General features: G+C 40.2%; 1 protein-coding gene and 1 long non-coding RNA gene across 7 annotated transcripts in view, besides 1 other annotated feature; both read right to left on the bottom strand.

Moving 5' to 3' along the window:
- CCDC192 (coiled-coil domain containing 192) overlaps window positions 1-26,680 on the bottom strand; it is a 239,292-nt gene that overhangs the window by 5,668 nt on the left and 206,944 nt on the right. The window lies entirely within an intron of this gene.
- Window positions 452-1,105: an enhancer, noted in NCBI's record as "OCT4-NANOG hESC enhancer chr5:127270427-127271080 (GRCh37/hg19 assembly coordinates)". NCBI's record gives its function as "activates a minimal SCP1, AML or CMV promoter by ChIP-STARR-seq in naive and primed H9 embryonic stem cells {active_cell/tissue: H9 hESC(naive and primed)}" and the evidence as "EXISTENCE:reporter gene assay evidence [ECO:0000049][PMID:30033119]".
- Window positions 526-26,680, bottom strand: LOC124901059 (uncharacterized). The gene is made up of 3 exons (XR_007058925.1): window positions 26,638-26,680; window positions 21,465-21,590; window positions 526-596 (listed from the first exon to the last, which is right to left on the bottom strand). It is a non-coding gene; the product is annotated as an uncharacterized LOC124901059 (long non-coding RNA).

Below are 26,680 nucleotides of genomic sequence, written 5' to 3'. Positions count from 1 at the left end.
AGCCACCGTGCCTGGCCTCTCTTTGATAATTTTCTAAGCAAGTGGCTCTCAGTCACTGGTGTCCCTCCAGCTCTTCAGAGGTTGGCTGCCAATTGTAATCAATGAGTTAAAAATCTGAATTTTGTGATCACTGCAGCTGTACACTGTCACAGAGAGACCTGACAGAGGGAACACTGCCATACATAGACTGGGAAAACAGTGGGGCATCACTTGTTGCTAATCAGAGCAAGAAGGAGTGGTTTCATATTAGGTCAACATACCTAGAATGTGTGAAAACATTGCTTCACGAGTCCAAGATGTTAACACTTTTCTGTAAACAGTGATGCAGGGCTGAAAAGTGACCCAATGAATAGGAGGAAGAGTTCTTTTAGATTTTCTAAATACTTCTTGCTAAAAAGGGATATTCCCCTTTTGATTTCTTTATGGGTGCCACCAAAAAGTATGCATTGAACAGAGAAATGCTGAGAAGCACTGATCTAATTTCTGACCCAACTACCTCTAACAATGGGAAATATACTTGTTGCTAGCCAGATCCCAAGTATCCTCCATAGTCATCTTCTTGTTCATTCATTCATCCAATAATTATGTTTGGGAACCTGCACATAGAGAATAAATAAGATAAAATGTTGGCTCCACAGCTGCAGCTTCACAGTGAAGTAGGGGAGGGGCAGCACTGAGTTAGGCCCTAAAGGGCATTTGGGATTAGCCTAAACAAACACCTCAGCTGGGTACTCACTCATGAAGGTTTACTTTTCCCTCTGCCTTTCAAGCTAATGACTAAGGCTGCCAAGTATTTACTCAACAAGAAAGACCCAACAAGGATCACCGGTGAGGTGATTAAATACCTCATTCCACCAGAGCCACCCAGGATTGCTGTTTGGATTAAAAGACAATGTCAGCTTCCTCCTCTGTACAAATGCCCACTACTCTGACTCACTATGGGGCTGGTTTTGAAAGTTATGTATTATTTGTCTGCAACCACCACAGAGTCCAGGGTCATCTCTTGCCATACTTGGACTTGCACATACTTGGCACAGCTTTAGGACATATTCTTTAGAAATATATCCCTCCCACTTAAATTGACAAACCTAAACAAAACTTTTTAGGTTTTCTATCCTCTAGATTTTTACAGTGAACGTTTGCAAATGGCTATTCTCTGAAATAAATGATTCACTTATTTTTTTTGTATTGTAGTACAAATATTTTTCTTTTTGAAAATCAAATTAGTCCTATGTCTTGAAGTTTCATCTGTCCTCCCCTTTTAATGTTTTTACTTGTAAAGAGACCAATCTATAGTGCCAAGTGACTGACTTCAAAGGTACTTCAATTTCCTTCCACTAAAGCTGTCAACATTTAGGATCCATCTGAAGTAGGCACGTGTTAATTGATTTGGAAAAAACAAGCAGCATTATAAGAATACAATTGGTTGGCAAAGAGGTTTGGTCACTAAAAAGAATTAAAATGTAGTATATAAAATTAGCTAGAAACTTTTGATAATATAATGAAGATCAGTCTTATAATAGTTATATTTTAGAGGAAAAATTCGAGATGTAATGGCACAGTGGAGAGAATATATGTTTTCACCTAGCAACAGGCCCAAACCTGAGAGTTTAAGAAGATCTGTCTGTTTTAGTAAGTGACTTAGAAGGGAACAAATACTTAGTTGAGATCATGATGGAAGGGCTGCAGCCTGAATGACATGGGGTAGTGCTCCTGAGAGCAGTGGATCAGAGAGCCTGTAGAACACCCAGTGAAAAGGAAAACAAGAGGCAAGAGAGACCATGTAGGAAGCAGTTGTTGCCTACTGCTCATCTGGGCCTTGAGAAGTTGTGGTGCCTGCATATCTCAGTCTGCTTAGGATGCCTTAGTTTATAAACAACAGAATTTTATTTCTCATAGTTCTGGAGACTGGGAAGTTGACGATCAAAGTGCCGGCACGTTCATTGTCTAGTAAGGACCCATTCCTCATAGATGGTGCCTCCCAGCTGTGTCCTTATATGGTGGAAAAGCCAATAGGCTCCCTCAAGATTCTTTTATAAAGCATTACTCCCATTCATGAGGGCTCTGCCCTCATGACCTTGTCACCTCCTAAAGACCTTACCTTTTAATAGCAACCCACTGGGGATTGGATGTCAACATACATATTTTGGAGGACCACAAACATTCAGACCCTAGTACTCCACCAGTCTCCAGACCAGAGTGAGGGGCCTGGCTGATGAAGACACTTCTAGGACTTGTTTATGGTTTAGTGAACACGTAGAATGAATGAAAAACACTTGTCTCTAACCACTCGCATCACTCATGTGGCAATTAGATGCTCTCACGGTGAGAGGTGTGTGGGAGTTAAGCAGACCAAGAGAAATACAGATTCCTATCTTACTTCTTATGCTCAGTCTGAGGCATATACTCACTCCAGTGCCCATGCTCATCATTTATTTAAGTGGTAATTCCCTCTCGCCTAGTATTTAAGTATCGCAATAGCTTCTTCTCTGGTCACCCTGCTTCTGCTACTTTAGGCTGGTTTCAACTCTGCACAGAGAGGTCCCATCAAAATATAAGTCAGGTCTTGACACTCTCGCCTACAATCCTCCAGCGACTTTTCGTCTCATGCAGACCAAAGTCTCACACTGATCTTCAAGGCCCTATGTGATCTGGGACCTCTTTACTTCGATAGCACGTAACCTATTCCTCCTTCCTCCTCTCCAGAGTAAATGCAACATTTCCTCTGCTACATTTCCACAATTCTCACTGCTGTTCTACCAGGCCTGGCATGTTCTTATCCCAGGGACTTTGCATTTACTATTTCCTCTGCCTGCACAATTGTATACCTGAGGCATACATGGCTAGCTCTCTCAGTTCCTTCAGGTCTTCAACCCTCCAAAGTCACCTTCACACAGTGAAGCCTTCCCTGGCCATCTTACCTACAATTTCAACCCAAGCCCCATTGCTGAACACTTCACATCCATGTTTTCTGCCTTGTTTTTACTGACATGCTGTATCTGACTATTCTAGATCTGGTTTTTATCTTGTTTGCAGTCACTCTCCCCTCGTGGAATGAAAGCTCCATGAAAGCAGAGCTTTTTTATTGTTTTGTTCAGTACTGTATCCCCTGTGCCCAAAATAGTGCATGGATTGTAGTGATGGTCATTTGTCAAGTGAATAAATAAATGAAAGTTAAGTGCATATATAACACAAATCACCTAAGAAAGCATCAGCCCGAAGGTTACAATTGCTGTATCTTTAGGGTGGATACAACAATATCCTAGATTCCCTCCCCAGGAGTATTTTTTTCTTCAAATAATGCTTTCACTACTGCATTAGAAAAAATAAACTGGTGGCCGGGCATGGTGGCTCATGCCTGTAATCCCAGCACTTTAGGAGGCCGAAGTGGGAGGATCACCTGAAGTTGGGAGTTCGAGACCAGCCTGACCAACATGGAGAAACCCTGTCTCTACTAAAAATACAAAATTAGCCGGGCGTGGTGGCGCATGCCTGTAGTCCCAGCTAGTTGGGAGGCTGAGGTGGGAGTATCACTTGAACTTGAAAGGCAGAGGTTGCAGTGAGCCAAGATCGTGCCATTGCACTCCAGCCTGTGCAACAAGAGTGAAACTTTGTCTCAAAAAACCCACAACAAACTGTTGTCATTGCATGTAATATCACTGAGTTTACTTTTTTTTTTTTTTTTTGAGACGGAGTCTCACTCTGTTGCCCAGGCTGGAGCGCAGTGGCACGATCTCGGATCACTGCAACCTCTGCCTCCCAGGTTCAAGCGATTCCCCTGCCTCAGCCTCCCAAGTAGGTGGGACTACAGGTGCGCACCACCACTCCCGGCTAATTTTTTTTTTGTATTTTAGTAGAAACAGGGTTTCGCCATGTTGGCCAGGATGGTCTCGATCTCCTGACCTCGTGATCCACCTGCCTCGGCCTCCCAAAGTGCTGGGATTACAGGTGTGAGCCACCGTGCCCAGCCTACTTTCTTTTTTGATAGAAAACAGAAAGTTAGAAAAATTGATCCCCTAGATGTCTTCCCAATCTAGGATTTAGATTTCTATAAGCTGTAAAAATTGTTCCCCAAGTCTGGCACTGGGAAATCTCTGTTAATATGGAGAATCCAAGATCTCATCCTTGAAATTCTGCTTGAGTGACTCTAGAAGGGTGCCTGGGAATCTATATTTTTACAGAGCTTCCCAAGGAAATCTGATGATCAGCCAGGTTTCTACAAGTGAATTTCTGCTGACCTGCAAGATTTATGGTGAACCAAGATTTGGCTAAATCCTAACAGGTAGGCCAGAAATCACCAGGCAAGCCTATTCTTGACAAGGCTGCAATATGCACAGCTGGAGGAGGGAGAGCACATCTATTGTGCTGGCTACTTGACAAAGCTTTGCCTTTAAATGTTACTAGCTGATTGAATGCATCCATGGTCCTTGCAACCCAGCCCCGCTGCTTTAATTAGCTTACATCCCAACAATATCTTGCCAGTTCCAATTTGGCTAAATTATCTCCAGAACATACAGAAAAAATGATGAGTGTTCAGGGGTTTGTTTCTGTTTTTGCTTCCATTTCTGTTTCAGTGGATGAATAGATCTATTTCCTTAGACTCTCTTTTCCTTCCTATGGGTAGGGGTGGGAAAGAGAGGATGAGCCAGAGGGAGAGGAAGGAAGAGATTGGACTTTGGGTTGGAAGCACAGTGACTCCCCAGCTTCCACAGAAGTTTAACAGTTACCACCACCATGCAGGGAGGAAGTGAATCCCCCACTCCTGAGAATCTGAATCCAGGCCCTTATTCCTGGAGCTTGCTGGAGTCAGCACATATGTCCAAGAAGACTGATAAGAACAGTATCACAGAAAGATGTTTGCATACACATCTTTGCTAGCACAGGAAAGGCTGGCAGGGTGTTGGTCGTTTGTGCGGAAAAGCAAGTGATGATGTCTCAAAGATGACGCCACAAAATGAATATAGGCTTGTGGAAGGTGGGGGTAGGCCCCAGTGGCCAGACATTGGCTGGTGAGCAGAGTGCAGTGTGTATCCCATCTTCTATCTACTCTCCAGTAGCACAAAGTGCTCCATTAGGATTGAGGGTAGGATAACCTAGGCTAACTTACTTAGCTCATCAGTTCCTTTCTGGGGCAGAGTTCCTTCCCACCCACTGCAGGGTCTCAGGCCACATCAGAATATTTTACAGAAGGGGTTCTTGGTAAGGTTGAGAAGACTGTTAGCATAACCATGTACCTGAGTTATACCAAGAGGAAGTCAATCTGAGCAGAAGAAAGGGTTTCTGGAATCTCTCTTACTTCCTCCTATGAGTAGGACCTGAAGTCTCCTCCCACAACTCTGGCTTTGAAGAGAATAATGGATGGAATGCAGTGACCAGCAGCCTGGCCAGAAGCCACAAGGTAAAAATGGACACTGGTGGGAGGTTAGGAAATTCCAGGAGGGAGAGTCCATGAGATTGAATGAATGGAAGAAAGATAGAAGACAATAGATGAAGCACTGCTTCTATGCTTATCTGAAAATGAATCAGTATGGACTCAAAGTCAATTGAAGGTACAAAAGTAAAGATGATTTTACATCTTTTTATTTTAGTTTAGTTTAGTTTAGTTTACTTTAGTTTAGTTTAGTTTAGTTTAATTTGAGAAGAAGTCTCACTCTATCACCCAGGCTGAAGTGCAAGTGGCACAATCTCGGCTCACTGTAACCTCCGCCTCCAGGGATCAAGCGATTCTCCTGCATCAGCCTCCAGAGTAGCTGGGATTATGGGCATGCGCCACCACACCTGGCTAACTTTGTATTTTTAGTAGAGATGGGATTTTATCATGTCAGTCAGGCTGGTCTTGAACTCCTAACCTCAAGTGATTTGCCTGCCTTGGCCTCCTAAAGTGTTGGGATTACAGGTGTGAGTCACTGCGCCTGGCCATTTTCCATCTTTTGGACTGCATGTTGCACTAGTGTCAAATGTGGGACTTTTTCAAGTTTTTCTTCCTGGTGGTGCACAAGGGTTTGTTAAGGATACCTCCTTATGAAATAAGGAATGCCTACTTAGATAATTTGTTTGCCTTAATTTTAAAAAGATATGACAGTTTCTAGTGTTGTGTAGCACTGAGAAACAAAACAATGTTGTAGTAATAATAGTATTGTTAGGGCTATTCTTTGATAATGACTGAAAAAAATTTTTGAGAAAGATGGGATAAAGGATCCATTGCTATTGTTTATCAGGATTTTACTTGTTTAAACTGTGCAGAGGAATGGGCGTTGTACAGAGGAGGTACAAGTTATTTTGATTTAGCTGACTTGACATTGCTATTAAATGTTCCTGATGACAGGACACTTGAATGCAATCTTTTATTGTACCAAATTTTGACTGACATGTGCAACTATACATCTCTACACACAGCCCCTTCTCTTTTTAAAATTTCACCCCATCCCTCATTTTCTTTCTTTTGATCAGCCTTGGGATGACAGTGAGATAGCACTACTGGTCTGCAGAGGAGTCTCTCTTTTCCTAGCCCCCTAGATATGGTGCTAGGTCTGAAGTCAGTGTCTTTTGGCCAGAGCTTAAAAATGTGTGCATAAGACATAATAAACTGCAAAAGATACTACAGCAGCGGCAGGTTCACACAGAACTTATTTTTGTCGTTCATTTATTTTGTTCTGAATACTAAAAATGATGAAATAAAATGCTACCAGTACCAGCCAAGTGGGATCATCACATAATTCTCAGAACATATTCTCTGAGTGGTGGCCCCTCTATCGTTTAAGAATAACATGGCTGAGTCCGGGCATGGTGGCTCATGCCTGTAATCCCAACACTTTGGGAGGCTGAGGTGGGTGGATCATGAGGTCAGGAGTTCAAGACCAGCCTGGCCAGCCTGGTGAAACCGTGTTTCTACTAAAAATACAAAAACTAGCTGGGCGTGGTGGCAAGGTGCCTGTAGTCCCAGCTACTCAGGAGGCTGAGGCAGGAGAATTGCTTGAAGCTGGGAGGCAGAGGTTGCAGTGAGCCAAGATCATGCCACTGCACTCCAGCCTGGGCAACAGAGCGAGACTCCGTCTTAAAAAAAAAAAAAGAATAACATGGCTAAAATTTGTTATTGAGATTTTCACTTATATAAAATGTAGAGCATGGGAAGCTCCATCCATAATTCTCAGCAAGCTTGGAAGAGTACTTTAGAAACAGGGAAGTGTGGTAGGCAGAATAATGACTGCCTGTCCACAAAGATGTCCAGAATAATACGCCCCTAAGATATCCCCGAAACCTTTGAATATGTTGCTTTATATGACTGAAGAGACTTTGCAGATGTGATTAAGAATTTTGAGATGGGAAGATTGTCTTGGATTATCTGGGTGGACCCAATGTAATCACAAGGATGATAAAAGGGAAGTAGGGGGTCAGAGTCAGAGAAAAATATCTGAAAATGTCACAATGCTGGCTCTGAACACAGAGACAGGGGCTACAAGCCAAGGAATGTAAGTGGCCTAAAGAAGATGGAAAAGACAAAGAAAGATATGTTCCTCTAGAACTTATAAAAAGAACACAGTCCTGTTGACACCTTGATTTTAGTCAGGTGACACCTGTTGGACTTTTGACCTCCATCTATAAGAACTATAAAAGATCACCAGCCAGGCGTGGTCGCTCAGGCCTGTAATCCCAGCACTTTGGGAGGCTGAGGCAGGCGGATTACCTGAGTTCGAGACCAGCTTGGCCAACATGGTAAAACCCCATCTCTACTAAACATACAGAAATTAGCCAGGCATAGTGGTGGGTGCCTGTAATCCCAGGCACTCAGGAGGCTGAGGCAGGAGAATCACTTGAATCTGGGAGGTGGAGGCTGCAGTGAGCCAAGATTGGGCCACTTCACTCAGAGTGAGACTCCGTCTCAAAAAAAAAAAAAAAAAAAAAGAACTATAAGATCACAAGTTTGTGTCATTTTAAGCTACTGTTATACTATAATTTGTCATAGCAGCAACAGGAAATGAATAGAGAAGGGAAAAAAAACCAAAGAACATCTGAATAATGAAGAAAATCTATCCATTATAGGAGAGCCAGAAATCTCATTTAGTGCAATGTCACCAGTGGACTTGGATTGCAACTAAGGGCAACTGAGGGTTTCCAGACATCCAGAGAGATCTGGATTACAGACCCTCCTGCCTCCTCTGGAATCTTAAACCATTATAGTTCCCTCTTCTTTGTAAATGTTAATCTTTCTACTGGCTCCAAGCCATGAACATTTAAACATTTAATTGCTACCATTTTAAATAGGAAATAAAATTCTTAAGCTACTTAATGCCTTTTCAGCTATTACTCTGTCACTCTTCTTGCCTTCGCAGTCAAAGCTCTTGGATGAGTTGTCTGTACTCACCCTCTTTCCTCTACAGTAGTCCCTACTCATTCTCGGGGGATAGTTCCAAGACCCCCCGTGGATGCCTGCAACCACAGATAGTACCAAACCTCATATATACTATGTTTTCCTCCTGTACACACATACTTATGAAAAAGTTTAATTTATAAATTAGGCACAATAAGAGATTAACAAAAATAACTAATAGTAAAATAGAACAGTTATAACAACATACTGTAATAAGAGTTATGTGAACATGATCTCTCTCTCTCTCAATATCTTATTGTACTATACTCACCTATTTTCAGACCATGGTTTACTTCTGGTAACCGAAACTGAAGAAAGCAAAACCATGCATAAAAGGGAACGGCTGTATTTTTCTCATGTCAACGTATTACAATCTAATTTTTGTTTTCAAAAGGACCTTACTAAACTTGGTCTTACTGAGGTTACCAATGCCACCAAATCCAATGGATTTGCTTCAAGTTCATCTACTTGACCTCTAAACATTTGCCCTGTTGACAGTCTTCCTCAGAGCACTCTCCCCTTCATTTTGGTAACAGGACACTCTTTTTCTCCAAACTTTCTGCCTACTCCTTTGGTCCCCTGTGAGCTTTTCCTCAGAGTAATTACTGCATGGAGATTCTTAAACTCCTGGTCTTAAACTTTCTTTTCCCTCTCTATAGGTCATTTCATTCCCTCCTGTGGCCTTGGTTGCAATATATTGGTATGAATAATGCCAAATTTACAACTCTAGGTCGGACCTGAGCTCTAGACTCTGAACTCCTACTGAGATATCTTATAAGCACCTCAGATATAATATGCCAAAAACTCAACTCATTATCTAACCTCTGAAGCTTATCTCATACCCAGTTTCTCCTTTACCCCCATGCTCTTTCATCCGTCTTTTCACAAAGTTCTGTTGATTTAGACTTCTAAATACCTTTTAAGTTTGTCTTATTATCTCCACCCCCGTTAGGTCATGCAACATGCTCCTGCAACTTCCTTCACCTCCACATCCTTATAATTCTCTTTCACAAAATACGTTCTCAATCTCTATGGGGTACTAGTTTATCAAGGACATGTCCAAACCCCATGTTTCCTCCTCGGTTTAAGTCACTTTAGGAGACATAATAGCCATAAGGAAGTAACAAGCTGATGAGGAGTCACTTATCAGATTGTTAAAGTGAACTAAATGTGGCCTGAGGACTCCATACTTCTATGTTTGAGTCCTTGTGGACAAACTGCAACCTAGCTTAATAGATAGACAAAAATTGAAAACCTAACTTAGGAGTATGCACCTGTAACAATAGCTGAGTCTTGGCCAATTGCAGCGGCAGAACTTCAATGACTCATACATTGCTGAGTGTTCAAACTGTGTTCAAATAAGGCAAAGGCGGAGCTGTAACCAATCCTGCTGTTCTGTACCTCACTTCAAATTTCTGCACGCCCCATTTCCCTTTTTTTGTCTATAAATCTTCCACCACGTGGCTGAACTGGAGTCTCTGTGAATCTGCTGTGATTCTGGGGGCTGCCTGATTTGCTAATCATTCATTGCTCAATTAAATGCCTTTAAATTTAATTTGGCTGAAGCTTTTCTTGTATTAAGATAATACAAATGGGCTTTGTAGTGACATGCCTGAGCACTTGGACATTTATTGTTTGAAACTACAGGGTTCAGTTCAGAAGATGCCAAGGGGAAAGTAGGTTTTAGAGAGACAGCCATGAAAGTGGTTTAAGCGAACGAGAAGCAATAGCAGAGTTGAAGTGGGTAAAAATAATGTCGACGTGGGAGGGCCCTTGCACACTTGAGAGGAAGAACTTACAAAAGCAATGACTGCTTATCAATCTTCTCCAAGATGAACAATCATATCTAACTTTATTTTTATCAACTTTTTTTGTGCTACTTGCTTTTACTTTGTGCTACTTGCTTTTAGTTTAAATTTTACTGTAATAAAACAACAGTGAGAAATTGACTCAAGGATGGGCTGAGGGACAGGGATGTGTCTGCTAAGCTAACTTGGCAGCATAAAAATGCCCCGTTCTTGAGGACAGCTTGTGGAATACTCGTCTTTCAATTCCTCCTCCTTGTGGAATGCCATTCCAATTTTATCAGCTTGATTTTATTTTTTTCATATCAAGATACAATTTCATCTTGAAATTACAAAAGATAATTCAAAAGTTATAGAGAAATTCTCCAAGAGGGGACTCAAACAAGATTTTTTAGTTTAGGAAATCTTCTGATATTCTATTATAAACATTAATTTTCATAGGTGTTTTTTCCAATAGTTACCTACTTTATCAGGTAAGTTATATTCCTTGAGAACATTATTAAAGCTAATGGTAATAGAGTTATTTTCAGGTTAGACTCAAATCCAAGGCACTTTAGAGAGGCATAAAAAATTGTCAAGAGGACAGATGGAATACTCAGCAAAATGCTTCTGTTGTTGCATATAAGTTTTGTTTTATATATTTGTTGAGATGTATTGTACATAAATCAAAATAGAAAAATAATATAATTTTTAGAGATGTCAAAAAATTCTGTGGCTATGATTTTTTTTCCATAGCTTCCTCCTCTGTACTTGTGAGATAGGAGTAAAGAGGGGGATAAAAGGAAAGTGGGGAAAGATAAACATTTACAGAGCACCTACTCCATGTCATTTTACTAAGAACTTGTTCAGCAATTACACCGGAACAGAGTAAATATTTGCCTCTTATTGCTACTATTATGAATGATACCACCAGAATCTTTGTATAGATCACAGCACCTATCCATTGTTCAGACAGGTCTGAAACATGCAGGCCACTTTTCAACCACATCACTCCATCCTGCCTCTACTGTCAGGTAAATATGTAAGTCCATGGAAGTCTTGTCCCATTAGCATCTCCTACTGATCTGGGGTCACAACATACCCTTGGGGGTCATATGCTAATCACTTCTCAATTGTTTATGGAATATTCCTGGCTTTAAAAGATAAAACAACAGGCCAGTTGTCTCATTCTTTTTTGTTTCCATCTATTATTAATTTCTGATCTAGCAAATGCTAAGAATCTTAGGAATTGGCAGCACGGTTACCATTAAGACTTATGGGCATTTGTTCTGGCTGCTTCCCAAGATGACCCTCCCAGTGTTTTCTGGTTCTAACCACCTGGATAAACAAAGGCTTAGGGCACACATTCGTTTTCAGCAGGCAAACTTTCCATTTCATCTGAGGCTTAAGATATAGAAATTATTTAAATTTAATCAGCATTATGTATTAATTGGTCACTTCAGTTCTTCAAACCACTTAAACCATCAAATGATAAAGTGTGCCAAAAATGGTGAAAGTACTTGTTTCCTCTTTAGGACTCAGATTAGCTTTAATCAATTAAGTAAGGTAATATTTTACTTGAGATTAACCTCAAAGAATCAATATTGTCTGTGAATATATTGGTCAGAGTGATCCAGCTCCAAATAACAGGATATGTGACTATCAGCAACTTATACAATGGAAAGTTTATTATTGTACCTAAGGTGAAACCTGGGGGAATTCCAGGGTTAGCTCATTTGGTAGCTCTGGGGAGCCAGGTTGGCTTCTCTGGGATTCTTTTGTTTCTCCTTTCTATCTGCAAGGTGGTTGCATTCTTCATAAGGCATTGTCTGAAAGTTGGAAGAGAAAGTCCTGTCTTGTCTCATCTTTTTAAAAGTTAGGAAAGCTTCCGTGATGCTTGCAACAGAATTTACCTCATATTTTTGTGCATGTATGTCCATCATATTCCTAAAGCAGCCCTTGACAAAGAAAAAAAAAAATCAATGCCATGATTGGTTAAGACTAATGAAAAGGCCGGGCGCGGAGGCTCACGCCTGTAATCCCAGCACTTTGGAAGGCCGAGGTGGGCAGATCACAAGGTCAGAAGATCAAGACCATCCTGGCTAACACGGTGAAACCCCGTCTCTACTAAAAATACAAAAAGTTAGCAGGGCATGGTGGCGGGCGCCTGTAGTCCCAGCTACTCGGGAGGCTGAGGCAGGAGAATGGCGTGAATCCGGGAGGCGGAGCTTGCAGTGAGCCAAGATGGCACCACTGCACTCCAGCCTGGGAGGCAGAGTGAGACTCTGTCTCAAGAAAAAAAAAAAAAAAGACTAATGAAAATTAGCATTCTGAAATGGGTGAGGGAGGACCCCTAAAATACTGTATGAATGAACTATGAGTAAAATTGGAGTTCCGTTCACAAGGAAGAACAGAATCTTTTGTGTAGGTGACTAATAGGGTCTGCCACAATGAACAAAACTTTTCTTTATACCAAATTTCAATAATAGTGTATCATTTACTACTGTTTTTGTTCAACAACCTGAAAGCCCAATTCTAACTGGCTTAACTAATAAAGAAAATGTATTGGCTCCAGAGATAGCTTCAGGCAAGTCTTGAACTAGTGGCCTCAATAATGTAACTGAAAATGTGGCTTCTTTTGGTCTCTTTGCTCTCCCTTTACAGTGCCAGCTTCTTCCTAAGCCTGATACTATTTTGGTACTCAGATGGCTGCCATTATCTTCTAGAGAGAATTCTCTTTTCTGTCTAGTGTCAAAGAATGTTTCTACCGGTATTTATTTACTACAGAAAAACAGGCAGCTTGTCTTTCCTGCTAGCTTCAACAAATACTCCCCACATCCCATTGGTTCATTTAGATGACAAGGCTCATCTCTGAATAAGTGAGTGAGCTATGCAATTGATGTTTAAGCTTTCTTTCCTCCTTGCTTTGTTTGTTTGTTTAAGACAGGGTTTCACCCTATTGCCCAGGCTGGAGTGCAGTAGTGTGATGTGTGATCCCAGCTCACTTCAGCCTCTACCTCCTGGGCTCAAGTGATCCTCGTACTTCAGCCTCCTGGGTAGCTGGGACTACAAGTGTGTGCCACCACACCAGGCTAACTTTTTGTATTTTTATGTAGAGATGGGGTTTTGCCATGTTGCCTAGGCTGGTTCTGAGCTCCTGTGCTCAAGCGATCTGCCTGCCTTGGCCTCCCAAAGTGCTGGGATTACAGGCATGAGCCACCATGCCTGGCCATGTTTAAACTTTCAACATTGCAATGTACTTAAGCATTGCGATTTATAACAGAAATGAAAGGAAATCAGGAAGACGAGTGAATGAAATAATACATAAATAAATAAATAATAAACAGAGGCTCCTCCCCATTATTACAAGTCTCATTTTGTAGTCATTTTCTTAGTAAGAGTTTTAATAAATTAAATAATGTTATCTAGAAGATAGCTTAAAATGAAGCAAATCATAAAAATCAAACTTATGGAAAAATCTAGGGAAAGTCACAACTGTATCAAAATTCTAAGCAGAATAAGAAGCTGGTTGTTTCACATGCAGTTTATTGATTTTGACAAAGATTAAGAAGTTATTCATTGTAACATGTTGATATTAAGGAAATTTAATCAATTATTTTTTGGCTAGAGAACTAACACAGAATCCAATTCGTTGAGGTCCAAATTGGCTTTCATATTTATCATTTGAAGAGACTTTTAACATCAAACAAAATAGGAAGAAATATTTTTAGTAGCATGTACTTTTTAGTGCACGACAATGTTTAATGACAGAAGTGTCAGCATTTCCAGCATGGCTACCACATACATCACAAAGTTTAAAAAATTATTTATATATTCTAAGATATACTCTCGGGCAAATTAATACCATCTGAGAGCCAGGGAATGAATTACCTGACCCAGTATGGAGAGAGAAGGCAGCTCCCAAAACAAGCAAGGGGAGGTTCGGGGCCTACACTCACATGGATGGCCACTACAGTAATTTCCTAAAACCTTGGACAAATCAGCCCCTCCGTGTGTGTCAGTCTCTTCATTTATAAAAGAAAAATGTTAATCCATATAATTAATGAAAGACTTCCCTGACTCTACAATTCTATGATTGTATTAGGGACTTTGGACTTCTGAGCATTTATTCTAGACTATTTTAATACTTAACATAATGCATTCTGTTGTTAATGCACATGTTGACATTTAAGCTTCTTATGCCTTGTTTAACAGCTCACTCTGCATCTATGTTGCCAGATAGTGGGTACATGGTAAGTGCTAAATTCTTGTTGAGTTAAATTGGAGGCAATGATGGTGATTATGAGTGACTTCTTTAGTAGGTGGATGGGTTGGAGTGGTTTATTTAGTATACTAATGTCATCATGACCCCCAAACTACTTAACTACCTTGTCAGTCTTTTTTCCTTTCCTTCCTTTTCTTTTCTTACCTTCCTACCCTTCCTTCTTTCCCTTTCTTCCCTTCCTTCCTCCACTACTCTCTTTCTTTCTCTCTCTCTTTCCTTCCTTCTTTTCTTTTCTTTTCTTTTCTCCTTTCCTTTCCTCTCCTTTCTCCTGTCCTTTCCTCTCCTTTCTCCTTTCCTTTCCTTTCCTTTCCTTTCTTTTCCTTTCCTCCTTTCCTGCTTCCTCCTTCCTCCTTCCTCCTTTCCTTTCCAACAGACTCTCACTCTGATGCCCAGGCTGGAGTGTAGTGGTACAAGCATGACTCACTGCAGCCTCACCTTCCTCAGCCTCCCAGGTAGCTGGGACTACAGGTGCACACCACCATGCCTGGCTAATTTTTGTCTTTTTGGAGAAATAGGGCTTCACCCCGTTGACCAGGCTGATCTCAAACTCCTGGGCTCAAGTGATCCTCCCACCTCAGCCTCCCAAAGTGCTGGGAGTACAGGCATAAGCCACCACTCCCAGCCGCCAGTCCTTTCTTAAAGAGAAAAAGGACCAAAAGTGAGCAAAAATAACTTATTAATACCTCTTTAGCAGCCGGGCGCGGTGGCTCATGCCTGTAATCCTAGCACTTTAGGAGGCCAAGGTGGGTGGATCACCTGAGGTCAAGAGTTTGAGACCAGCCTGGCCAACATGGTGAAACCTCATCTCTACTAAAAATACAAAAATTAGCCAGGTGTGGTGGCAAGCACCTGTAATCCCAGCTATTCAGGAGTCAAGTTTGCAGAGAATTGCTTGAACCCAGGAGGGCAGAGGTTGCAGTGACTCGAGATTGCACCATTGCACTCCAGCCTGGGCAACAGAGCAAAAACTCCATCTCAAAAAAAAAAAAAAAAAAGCCTCTTCAGTTCCTTTTAGCTTCCTAGAAATTATGATGATTGATGATCATAATGATGATCATCATCATTGATGATGATAAATCAATGAAATGTTAATTCTTGGGTTTATATTTTTAGATAATTTTTTTCTATTTATCTATTCATGATAAATCACAGAATTATGTATTTGTGTGTGAGCACAAATCTCTCAAGTGGGTAAAATAAGAATGTTGGCAAGTTAGAATTTTAATTAAAACTGAAAAAGAACTATTTCTAAAATGGTTCTATGTTAACAACTGGTGTAAGAAATGTGTGAAAAGCAAATAGGACATCTTAAATTCTCAAATTCTCTTCTCTCTGCAAGGATGGTATAGGAGTGCAGGTGTGTGTAGCTCTGCATGTATAGACATAAGTCTGTCAGATCCAAGAATAACCAGAGAGGAAGTATAATGATGTGCCACAGAAAGTAACAGAGAGTAAGTGGCTGCTAGCCAATGGGCAATCCTTTACCTGGTCTTGCCTTACCTGAAAGTGGCATTCTCTGTCAAAATAGTGCATCTATCCACTGTAGTACAGAGCAGATAGAGGGACAGAGGGACACAGAGGGACAGAGGGACACAGAGAGAGATGGAGAGTGATATCTTGTGAGATAGAATAGCAGAGGGAAAAGCTACAGGAAGGAGCAGTCATCCAGTGATTTTGGAGAGGATGCTTTGGAAAAGAGTGACACTCTGATGTCTCAGCACTTTCCTATGGAGTAGCAAAATCCAGTTTGCTGTAGAAGCTCTGTGAGAACAATGCCGTGCTCTGAGGAAAGCCTGTTGCACAACTGCAGATAGTGATACTGAGAATCTGCTTTGAGTACCGAAGCACTGAGACAAGAGAGTGACTCTACCATTACGGTCTGAAACTGAGACAGGACAGGAGAAGCTGGGAGCCATGGATCCTGCAGAACCATGGCAGTGGTGCAAAATATGGATGGGTTCTGGAAGTTTTTTTTCGTATCCACAGATTTCTTAATTAATAAATATTGGACATTAATACTATAAGTACATATTTTGTTCAAGGTAACTTAAAAAATTATCTGTAGTTTGTCCTGTGGTATGATAAAGGGATTCTCACCTTTATCATCTTGACAAAGTTCTGAGTCAAAGAACTCTTCAGATATTGTCAGAGATAGTCATGGGAACCAGGTGAAAGCACCTGACTCTGGCAGTCAAGTATCCAGAGTAGTCAAACTGGATAAGCTGCATCATTTTCCGAGAGCTACTGGAATAAGGCCTGATCTAATCTGGAGATGTTACATATTACATGTGCATAGGTACACACACACACACACACACACACACACACATATATACACACACACATACACACACAGATATATACACACATATATACACATACACACACATATATACATACACACATATACAAACATGCACACACACATATACACACAGACACACACATATATACACATATATACACACAGAGACACACATATACACACATATGCAAACATAAACATACACATGCATGCACATGTACACATACATATATACACACATGCACATACATATATGCACACAGAGAGACATACAGAGACACACACACATACACACACGCATATATACAGACAAACGTATAAGCATGAGTAGGAGTCAGGAGGGACCAGCTAAAATAATACATTCAACCAAACGCAAAGCTGTTCACTGCCCCCTCCTCATCAATGCTACACTTTTATATAAATATGAACCAATATAAAAGTTTGATTTACTAAAACCTAATGGATTAACATTAACCAAGAGAAAAGTGTAAATGGAGTAATGCAAATTAGCATGTTTGAATGGGACTCCTTCATTTTGGGGCTTTTTTGAGGTTGGGACACATTCATTCATCCCATAGAGTGTGTAATATATACAAGCCTCTAAGTTAGGCCTTGGGGATAAAACAATGACTAAAAACCAGTCCCTACTCTCAAGGAGAAATGCAAATGCTTGATTCTTCTTATGTTGCTCATGCTAACATGGTTTGTGTCAATAATCTGTTAATTTACTCAGTTTCAAGATACAAAACTTCAGTTGTTCTCAAATAGAAAAGGACACTCCGTGATAAAAGCAAGCATCTTGAAAGACAGGGGCATATCTCATTTAATTGGGCTTCACTTTATTGCACTTTGTAGATACTACTTTTTTTTTTTTTTTTTTTACAAATTGAAGGTGTCTGGCAACCCTGCATTGGGTAAGTATACCAATGCCATTGAGTTTGTTTTGTTTTGTTTTTTGCTTTTGAGACAGGGTCTTGCTCTGTTACCCAGACTGGAATGCAGTGGTGCGATCTCAGCTCATGGCAGCCTAGACCTCCTGGACTCACGTGATCCTCCCACCTCAGCCTCCTGAATAGCTGGGACTACAGGTGCCTATCGCCACACCCAGCTAATTTTATTTTGTAGAGACGAGGTCTCACTATATTGCCCAGGTTAGTCTCCAACACCTGGGCTCAAGTGACCCACCCGCCTAAGCCTCCCAAAGTGCTGGGATTACAGGTGTGAGCCACCATGCCCGGTTTTAGTGCCATTTTTTCAACAGCACGTGCTCACTTTGTGTCTCTATGTCACATTTAGGTAATTCTCATAATGTTTCAAACTCTTTCATTATTATTATATCTTTTATGGTGTTCTGTGATCGATGATCTTTGATGTTACCGTTGTAATTGTTTTGGGGTGCCATGAACTGCACCCATATAAGACAGGAAACTTAATCTATAAATAGTATGTGGGTTTTTACTGCTCCACTTACTGACGATTTCCCCATCTTTCTCCCTCTTCTCTGGCCTCTCTATTTCCTAAGACACAACAATATTAAAATTAGGCTATTTAATAACCCTTAAATGGCTTTTAAGTGTTCAAGTGAAAGGAATAGTTACACTTGTTTTACTTTAAATCAAAAGCTAGAAAAGATTAAGCTTAGTGAGGAAAGCATGCTGAAAGCCAAGGTAGGCCAAAGGTTAGGCCCCTTGCGCCGGTTAGCCAAGTTGTGAATGCAAAGAAAAGTTCTTGAAGGGAAATGAAAGTGCTATTCAGTGAAAACATAAATGATAAGAAAAGAAAACAGCCTTATTGCTGATATGGAGAAAGTTTTAGTGTCTGGATAGAAGTACAAACCAGCCACAACATTCCTTTAAGCCAAAGGCAGATCAGAGCAAGGCCCTGACTCTTCAATTCAATGAAGGCTGAGAGAGGTGAGGAAGCTGAAGTAGAAAAGCTGGAAGCTAGCAGAGGTTGGTTCATGAGGATTAAAGAAAGAAGCTGTTTCCATAACACAAAAGTGCAAACTGAAACAGAAAGTGCCGATGGAGGAGCTGCAGCAAGTTATCCAGAAGATCTAGCTAAGGTAACAAATGGAGGAGGCTACACTAAAGAACAGGTTTTCAATGGCAACAAAACAGCCTTCTATTGGAAGAAGATGCCATCTAGGACTAGCTAGAGAGGAGAATCAATGCCTGGCTTCAAAGGGCAGGATGACTCTTGTTAGGAGCTAATACAACTGATAACATTAAGTTAAAGACAATGTGCATTTACCATTCCAAAATCCTAGGGTCCTTAAGAATGATGCTAAATCTACTCTCCCTGTGCTCTAGAAATGGAAAAATAAAGCCTGAATAACAGCACATCAGATTATAGCATGGCTTTCTGAATATTTCAAACTTACTACTGGGATCTCTACTCAGAGAAAAATATTATTTTCAAAATATTACTGCTCATTGACAATGTACCTGGTCACCCAAAAGTTTTGGTAGAGATGTACAAGGAGACTAATGTTGTTTTCATGTCTGCTAATGTAACATCTATTCTTCAGCCCATGGCTGAAGGAGTGATTTTTACTTTTAAGTCTTATTATTTAAGAAATACATTTTGTAAGGTTATAACTTTCATAATAATGATTCTTCTGATAGATCTGGGCAAAGTAAATTGAAAACTTTCTGGAAATAATTCACCATTCCAGATGCCGTAAAGAACATTCGTGATTTGTGGAATGAAGTCAAATTATCAATATTAACAACAGTATAGAGGAAGTTGATTCCAACCCTCATGAATGTCTTTGAGGGGTTTAAGACTTCAGTGGAGAAAATAACTGCAGAAATGGTGGAAATAACAAGAGAACTAGAATTAGAAATGGAGACTAAAGATGTGTATCATGCAATCTCATGATAAAACCTCAATGAATGAGGAGTTGCTTCTTGCGGATAAGCAGAGAAAATGTTTTATTGAAATAGAAGCTATTCCTGGTGAAGATGCTGTGAACCTTGTTGAAATAACAACAAATGATTTAGAATATTTCATAAGCTTAGTTGATAAATTAGTGGCAGGTTCTGAGAGGACCGACTTCAATTTTGAAAAAGTTTCTACTGTGAGTAAAATGCTACCAAACAGCATCACATGCTACAGAGAAAACTTTCATGAAAGGAAGCTAATCAATGCAGCTAACTTTATTGTTGTCTTAGTTTAAAAAATTGCCACAGCCCCCCAGACCTTCAGCCGCCACCACCTTTATCTGTCAGCAGCCATCAACCTCCAGGTAAGACCCTCTGTCATAGGGGGATCCAATCTTTTGGCCTCCTTAGGCCACATTGGAAGAAGAATTGTCTTGAGCCACACATAAAATACACTAACAATAGCTGATGAGCTAAAAAAAAAAAATTGCAAAAGAAATCTCATGATGTTTTAAGAAAGTTTATGAAGTATTGCTGGGCGCAGTGGCTCACGCCTATAATCCCAGCACTTTGGGAAGCCCAGGCGGGTGGATCACGAGGTCAGGAGATCAAGACCATCCTGGCCAACATGGTGAAACCCTGTCTCTACTCAAAATACAAAAAATTAGCTGGTCATGGCGGTGCGTGCCTGTAGTCCCAGCTACTCGGGAGGCTGAGGCAGGAGAATTGCTTGAACCCGGGAGGCAGAGGCTGCAGGGAGCAGAGATTGCGCCACTGCATTCCAGCCTGGGCGACAGCGAGGCTCCATCTCAAAAACAAAAAAAAGAAAGTTTATGAAGTTTTGTTGGGCTGCATTCAGAACTGTCCTGGGCTGTATGTGGCCCGCGGGCAGCAGGTTGCTCTATCAGCAAAAAGATTAGGACTTGCTGAAGACTCAGATGATTGTTAGCACTTTTTAGCTACAAAGTATTTTAAAATTAAGGTATGTGCATTGTTTTTTAAACATGTTTTTGCACACTTGGTAGACTACAGTATAGTGTGAACATAACTTTTATATGTATTGGAAAACCAAAAATATCATGTGACTCACTTTATTGCAATATTCACTTTATTCTGGTTCCCGGGAACTGAGCCTGCAATATCTCTGAGTTATGCCTGTATTATACTAACTGAAAATGTAAAATATATCCCTTAGTTTTCTATTGTCAGGAATAATGTAATTTGAATGACACATAAGTCCTATTTTCCTTGTGTAGAACATAAAATTATGATATTAATAGTCAGGGAAGGAATCAATTCATGTTCAAACTTGGGCCCTTCCAATTGATTGTTGTATGCATTTGGCAGAGTTACATAAACTTTCTGTGCCTCAGTTTATTCATGTGTCAGTCGGCCCATCAATACATCAATATATCTCATAATGTTGTAAGAGGCTCAAGTGAGTTAATTCATGTTAAGCTCTTAGAATAGTGCTGTGACATAGTAATTGCTCTAGAAATGTTAACTACTGTTATTATTGACTGTACCCTATCTCCAAGCACGTTGCCCAAATCAAAGTCTTCCATCTTCCTGTAAATCAACTGATATTTTTGTTTAGTAGAATAGTCAAGTAAAAGTTACCATTTGTACAGGTTCACAATCTCATAGTTCTATTTTTTAAATCCTCTGGAAAATTTAAGTTTTTCATAGGTCATCTGGTGGCAAAATCTGACCTGACCTAATCTCAATTCATTTGGCAGCAAAACCTGATATGAACTGATGGGAGGCTATTTATAGTATTTATACATTGGTGTAAATATTATTATATTTGATACTAGAATATTGTCCCAGACCATACCTGGGTTACTTTTCACATCTTAAAAAGTCCACATTCTGAAACATATTTGGCCCCCAAGCTTCAGATAAGACATTATAGACATACTGGTCAGGGCAGACAGTATAGAAGAAATTTTCATATGTAGCTCTGCAAGGCAAGATTTATTAAGCAAGAATGTGAGTTTCTCCATTACAAACATCCTGAACCAATCAGCTCTCCACATCCAAAAAATGTGAGCCTTATTTTCTCCATGAAATTCATTATCACTAGATCAGTCTTTCCTCCTACTCATTCTCTCTGCTATAATTTCCAAGGAGAAGTTATTTTGGTTTTGGACTATTTACCAAGTTATCATAATTCTGCCTTTCTCCCCATTATTTTAATTTCTACCCCCCTCTCCATTTTTATTCACATTCATACAAATATACCATAAAATACCAGTCAAAGCAAACTCAAATTGTTAGGCATAGCTATGTATTCCTTCATCCCTGTTCTTTATTGTTTTTTCCATCTACCTCCACATGGGGTAAGTCAAGGAATCAAGATGTTTGGGTCTTGCCAAGCTTATTAACTCCAGCACATGTGCTATTATGCATGAACTACTGGTTGGAAGAACTATCTTGTCTTCAGGCAGTTCATCTGGTTTTATCTGAGGAAGTTGACAACAGATCCCAATCTAAAAGACCTATTCTTGTTAACTACTCCTAAGATCTCCAGAGATGTCCAGGAGAAAATTCTTCTAAGGCTCTTTCCTCTTTATCTCCAGGGATTCTAAATGTCTTTTCATATGTTTTAAAATTTTCAAATAGACTTGACCTCCACATCAGCTTTAACCACAGTAACTGCAGCTGGGTTTAAAAATCTGATCTCACTTCCATTTCTAATAAAAAGCAGCGGTCTAGGTAGAAGTGAACCTAAAAATCCCTTTTCCAGGATACTCAGGATATTTTCTTTCTCTTTGGTGGTCAGTGAGGCCTCAAGATGTAGAACCACTCAGTTACTAAGGTGGCCAACAATGAAGAGGTAAACGTAGGTTTATCACAGATGGTAATCTGAACAAGTGGAACATTCAAAGGCCAGGGAGGAGAAGACACAATCTTTTGGAAAATATGGTAAAGTGGCATCTGCATTTGAATTCTTCCTAGACCTTCCTTTTCTTATTGTGTTCCTGGAGCTTCTCTGGGCTTTAGTTTGTTGGTCTGTAGACTAGGCATCATAATACATGCTTTTGCAGAATTACCCCAGGTCACAGCTGAAAAATTATGGAGCTGGGACTTAAGTTCATATCTGCTTGACCCCAAAACCATTTGTCTTGTCCTTGAATCATGCTATCTCCAGAAAGTTCACATATAAACCAGAACATTTCCTCTATGGCTAAACAATACAGCTAGCTGTCAATAGGGCATGGAAAAGCTTTTGGACAGTTTGACTTTTGATGATGGGACCATGTGTTGGTCAGGGCCAGTGCAGAACACACCTACAGTGTCACCCACCCTAATTAACATGGTGAAGGGTAGAGCAATGTGGAACTGACTGTGTTTTATTCTATGATTAGGTATAAGCCTGGTTTTGCAGTATATACAGCAAGCCATAGGAAGTTTCATTGGAAGCGTTGTGGAACTCATTGAGAGTTGAATGGAAGAAAGAACCTATAGCAGAAATTTCCAGTTGCTTCAAATACCTAAGCAGAGAGTGAAGAGTTCCTCCTCCCCAGGTAATCCTGCATCTTTTGGATATAATAGCTCCAATGAACACCTTCTTATCACCACAAGGAATCCACCTCTGATAAGAGGCTGCCTCCCTTGCCGAGAAACCTCCCACTATCACAGAGGCTCGGTGTTCTCCTGTGATGTCTGCAAGTGCAGAAGCCCTTGGCTTCCCAGAGTAAGCTCTAAACATCTTTAGTATAACCTCTAAACATTACAGTTAAAAAAAGAAGTGTAAAGTACAGCTTCATTTTTTTTTTTTTTTTTTTTTGCTAAACCCAGGAATCTATTCTCACTAGAGATAAGGAAAACAGCTATACAACCCATTGTTGTACTCTGTTAAGGAGGACTCATAATTTATGCTTTAAGGGGAGGCTACTGGAAAAATAGCCTGAATATACTGTCAGTAGCGTTTCCTTGCTTGATGTTGTTTCCTTGTTTCCTGACAAAAATTTTTTTTGGGACGGGAGCAGTTGCTCACGCCTGTAATCCCAGCACTTTAGGAGGCTGAGATGGGTGGATCATGAGGTCAGGAGTTCGAGACCAGCCTGGCCAATATGGTGAAACCCTGTCTCTAGTAAAAATACAAAAAAAAAAAAAAATTAGCTGGGCATGGTGATGTGAGCTTGTAGTCCCAGCTGCTCGGGAGGCTGAGGCAGGAGAACTGCTTGAACCTGGGAGGCAGAGGTTGCAGTGAGCCCAGATTGCACCACAGCACTCCAGCCTGGGCGACAGAGCAAAATTCCATCCGAAAAAAAAAATTTGGTGAGAGGTGGGAGATATGTGAGTAAAGAACTTAAAAAAGCCCAAAAACAATTATCTGGGCATGGTGGTGTGCTGCCTGTAGTCCCAGCTACTGAGGAGACAGAAGTGAGAGGATTGCTTGAGCCCAGAAGTTCAAGGCTGCAGAGAGCTATGATTACACCACTGCATTCCAGCCTAGGTGACAGAGTAACACCACCCTGTCTGTAAAAAAAAAAAAAAAAAAAAAGTGGTATAAGGCAAAAGATAGAGAATTGTTGTATTATCTGTCACTCCCTTTTTCAAGTTTACTGTACATTGTTTAGTAAGTTTACTGTACCCCTTTATGGACCTAGAAGGAAAAATTGTCTCTTTGTATATCTATATCTATCAATAAATATATCTAAATTATAGAGTGCATGAACTTATGGTGCTGAGAAGAATATAATACATGCTTTTTCAGCTTCTTTTGATCACTTCAAAGAAAAGGATGCAGGATTTGTCCATTAGTATTACAAGTAACTGGTAATGTCTCCAGAGCCATGAGGATTACAGAGACTTATATACCAACAGCAGGTTTAGCTCCCAGCTTCTCTTCAGCCATCATAACACCCCGCATTAATCTTAGTGTTTGCCTGTCTACATGTCTGTTCCTCACTCTGGCATGAAAATTCCTTGGGGTTAGAGACACTGTGTTACCTGTCTTCATGTCCCCTGGGCTTGAACAATTTTATGACCCACAATGGATGTTCCACAAATATTTGTTGACATACATACACATATTGTGGGACTCAATGCATGCCTTGTGAAATTAAAGAAAGCGATTTCCATTGCAGGATTTGATAATTGGACTGACCGTGATGGGCATTTTAGGTAGCTATTAATATTTTGTGTTCTTATTGGATGATATTGTTTACAAAGTTTGAAGGTCACATTTTACATAAAAGTAAACATCTCAGTTGGTTAATATAAGTCATTCAGAGGAAGTTTTTTTTTTATGTCTAATAAAATTACACAATGCATGAAGCTACAGGAAACTCACATTCTGCCTATCTTCATTTTCCAGCTAAATTAGGCTCCCAGAAAGGAAATATGCTTCTCTCTCACAGTCTGCCACTTTTAAACAACCTCAAAGGCCTATTCCCCATGGGTTATACTTTGGCAGGACACTGCTGTTAGCCTGTGTATGGGGTCATGTGAAATACTGTGATCTGGAGAGTCAGTGGTCCTCTACTTACTACTGGATACCACCTTTCCTGTGGCTCCTGCATGGGAAAAGAAATCTCCATGTTTACTGCAGCGGGGAAACAATGGGACTTTTTGGGGAATTGTGCTACATTCAGTTATTTACGCTTCTACATATTTGTTCAGTTCTGAACAATCACTAATTCAACACTGGGAGTTTATGGCTGTATGGATTTCCCTAACTACACACCCAACCATTTATAAGCACAGCTGGAAGTTTCCTTTTATATTGCACCAATCACTTGCTAGTAAAGATGGATGCACTAACCCACAGATCTGAGAAAGCCAGCCACATTGGTTTTATCTGGATCTGAATTCTTTGTATTAGTTAATTTACTTAAGAAGCCAGTCTAAAGAGCTGCCACCCATTCTTGTGTGTTGAGCTTTTGCAATTTTTATTTAGTGAAGATGCCAAAAGCTTCGAAGGACCCACCAAGCAGTGATCTTGTTTAAAGGTTGATAGAGGATTTTACATTCATCATCTTGACAGCCATAAAGGCACATATTATTTTCAGATAATAAATAAGACAGGAAGAGTCTAGCCTCTAGCTTCATGCAGAAGATGCAAATCTGAGGCTTTGGAGGCTCAGAAAGGTCAACTTTTCTTTGCAACACATTCTGATTGTTTTCATCTTCTTATAGGCACTTGGCCTGTTTTGTCTAAGTTTAACATAAGCCTTTTTCACACAGGTGCTTTTCTTGGCATCCACAGAGGAAATGAGGAAACTGTGCCAAATTAAAATGAGCACATTTTGAAAATACGGAAATTTGATCCTTGTATTGATTCCTTTTCATAGAAGAGGCAATAAAAGCCATTGTAGAGATGAATTGAGATTGTGGTCTCCCTTAAGAATTAAAATATATATATAAACCATTCTGTCAAGCTTTGAACACTTCTATTCATCTATTTTGACCAGAAAATTTTAAAAAGAAGAATTTATCATTAGTCCAGTAAACTTCAGTGCATCATTGTCTTAGCACTTTATAACTAAAGCTTAAAAATAAAGTAATGCTATTAGGAAGTGCCCTGGACCAAGCTCAGAAAATATGAAAGTTGCTTCTAGTTTTTTTTTTCCATTAACTAGCAATGTGACAATGAATGAATTGTGTCACTTTACAGCTGTTGATATTGGAACTATTGTATACTAAGGACACAAAAGACTGCAAATTAGGTAGCAAGTTAAAAAGTAGCAAACATGTTAAAAATAGGAAAAGTCTGTTTTCTTCCTAAATGCAACCCATTTTGAAGAACACGTTTATCTAAATCTAGTATGGAATACCTCAAAATTTAATTGATTTCTTCTTTTTATTGATCTTCTATTCTTGCATAGTAGCAAGGGGAAGAAGTGAACTTAAACTTGCCCATTTAGGGTAACTCAGTCCTTGCAGTTTGGAAACAGAAGTGCTCCTACTTGTGGCCAGTCAACGTAAGGTATTGTGAAGGGCCTTGAAAAGTCCTCAGGCTCTGTGTGGTGAGGCAGTGAAATTGGCCCCAGACCCACCTGGGTGTGTATCTCCCTGTCCACTGCTCTCGCCCAGGGGTTG

The sequence above is a fragment of the Homo sapiens genome, chromosome 5, assembly GCF_000001405.40.
Source record: "Homo sapiens chromosome 5, GRCh38.p14 Primary Assembly".
Taxonomy (NCBI): domain Eukaryota; kingdom Metazoa; phylum Chordata; class Mammalia; order Primates; family Hominidae; genus Homo; species Homo sapiens.
The sequence above is the reverse complement of the archived record's forward strand: the minus strand, read 5'-3'. Positions and strand labels throughout refer to the sequence as shown.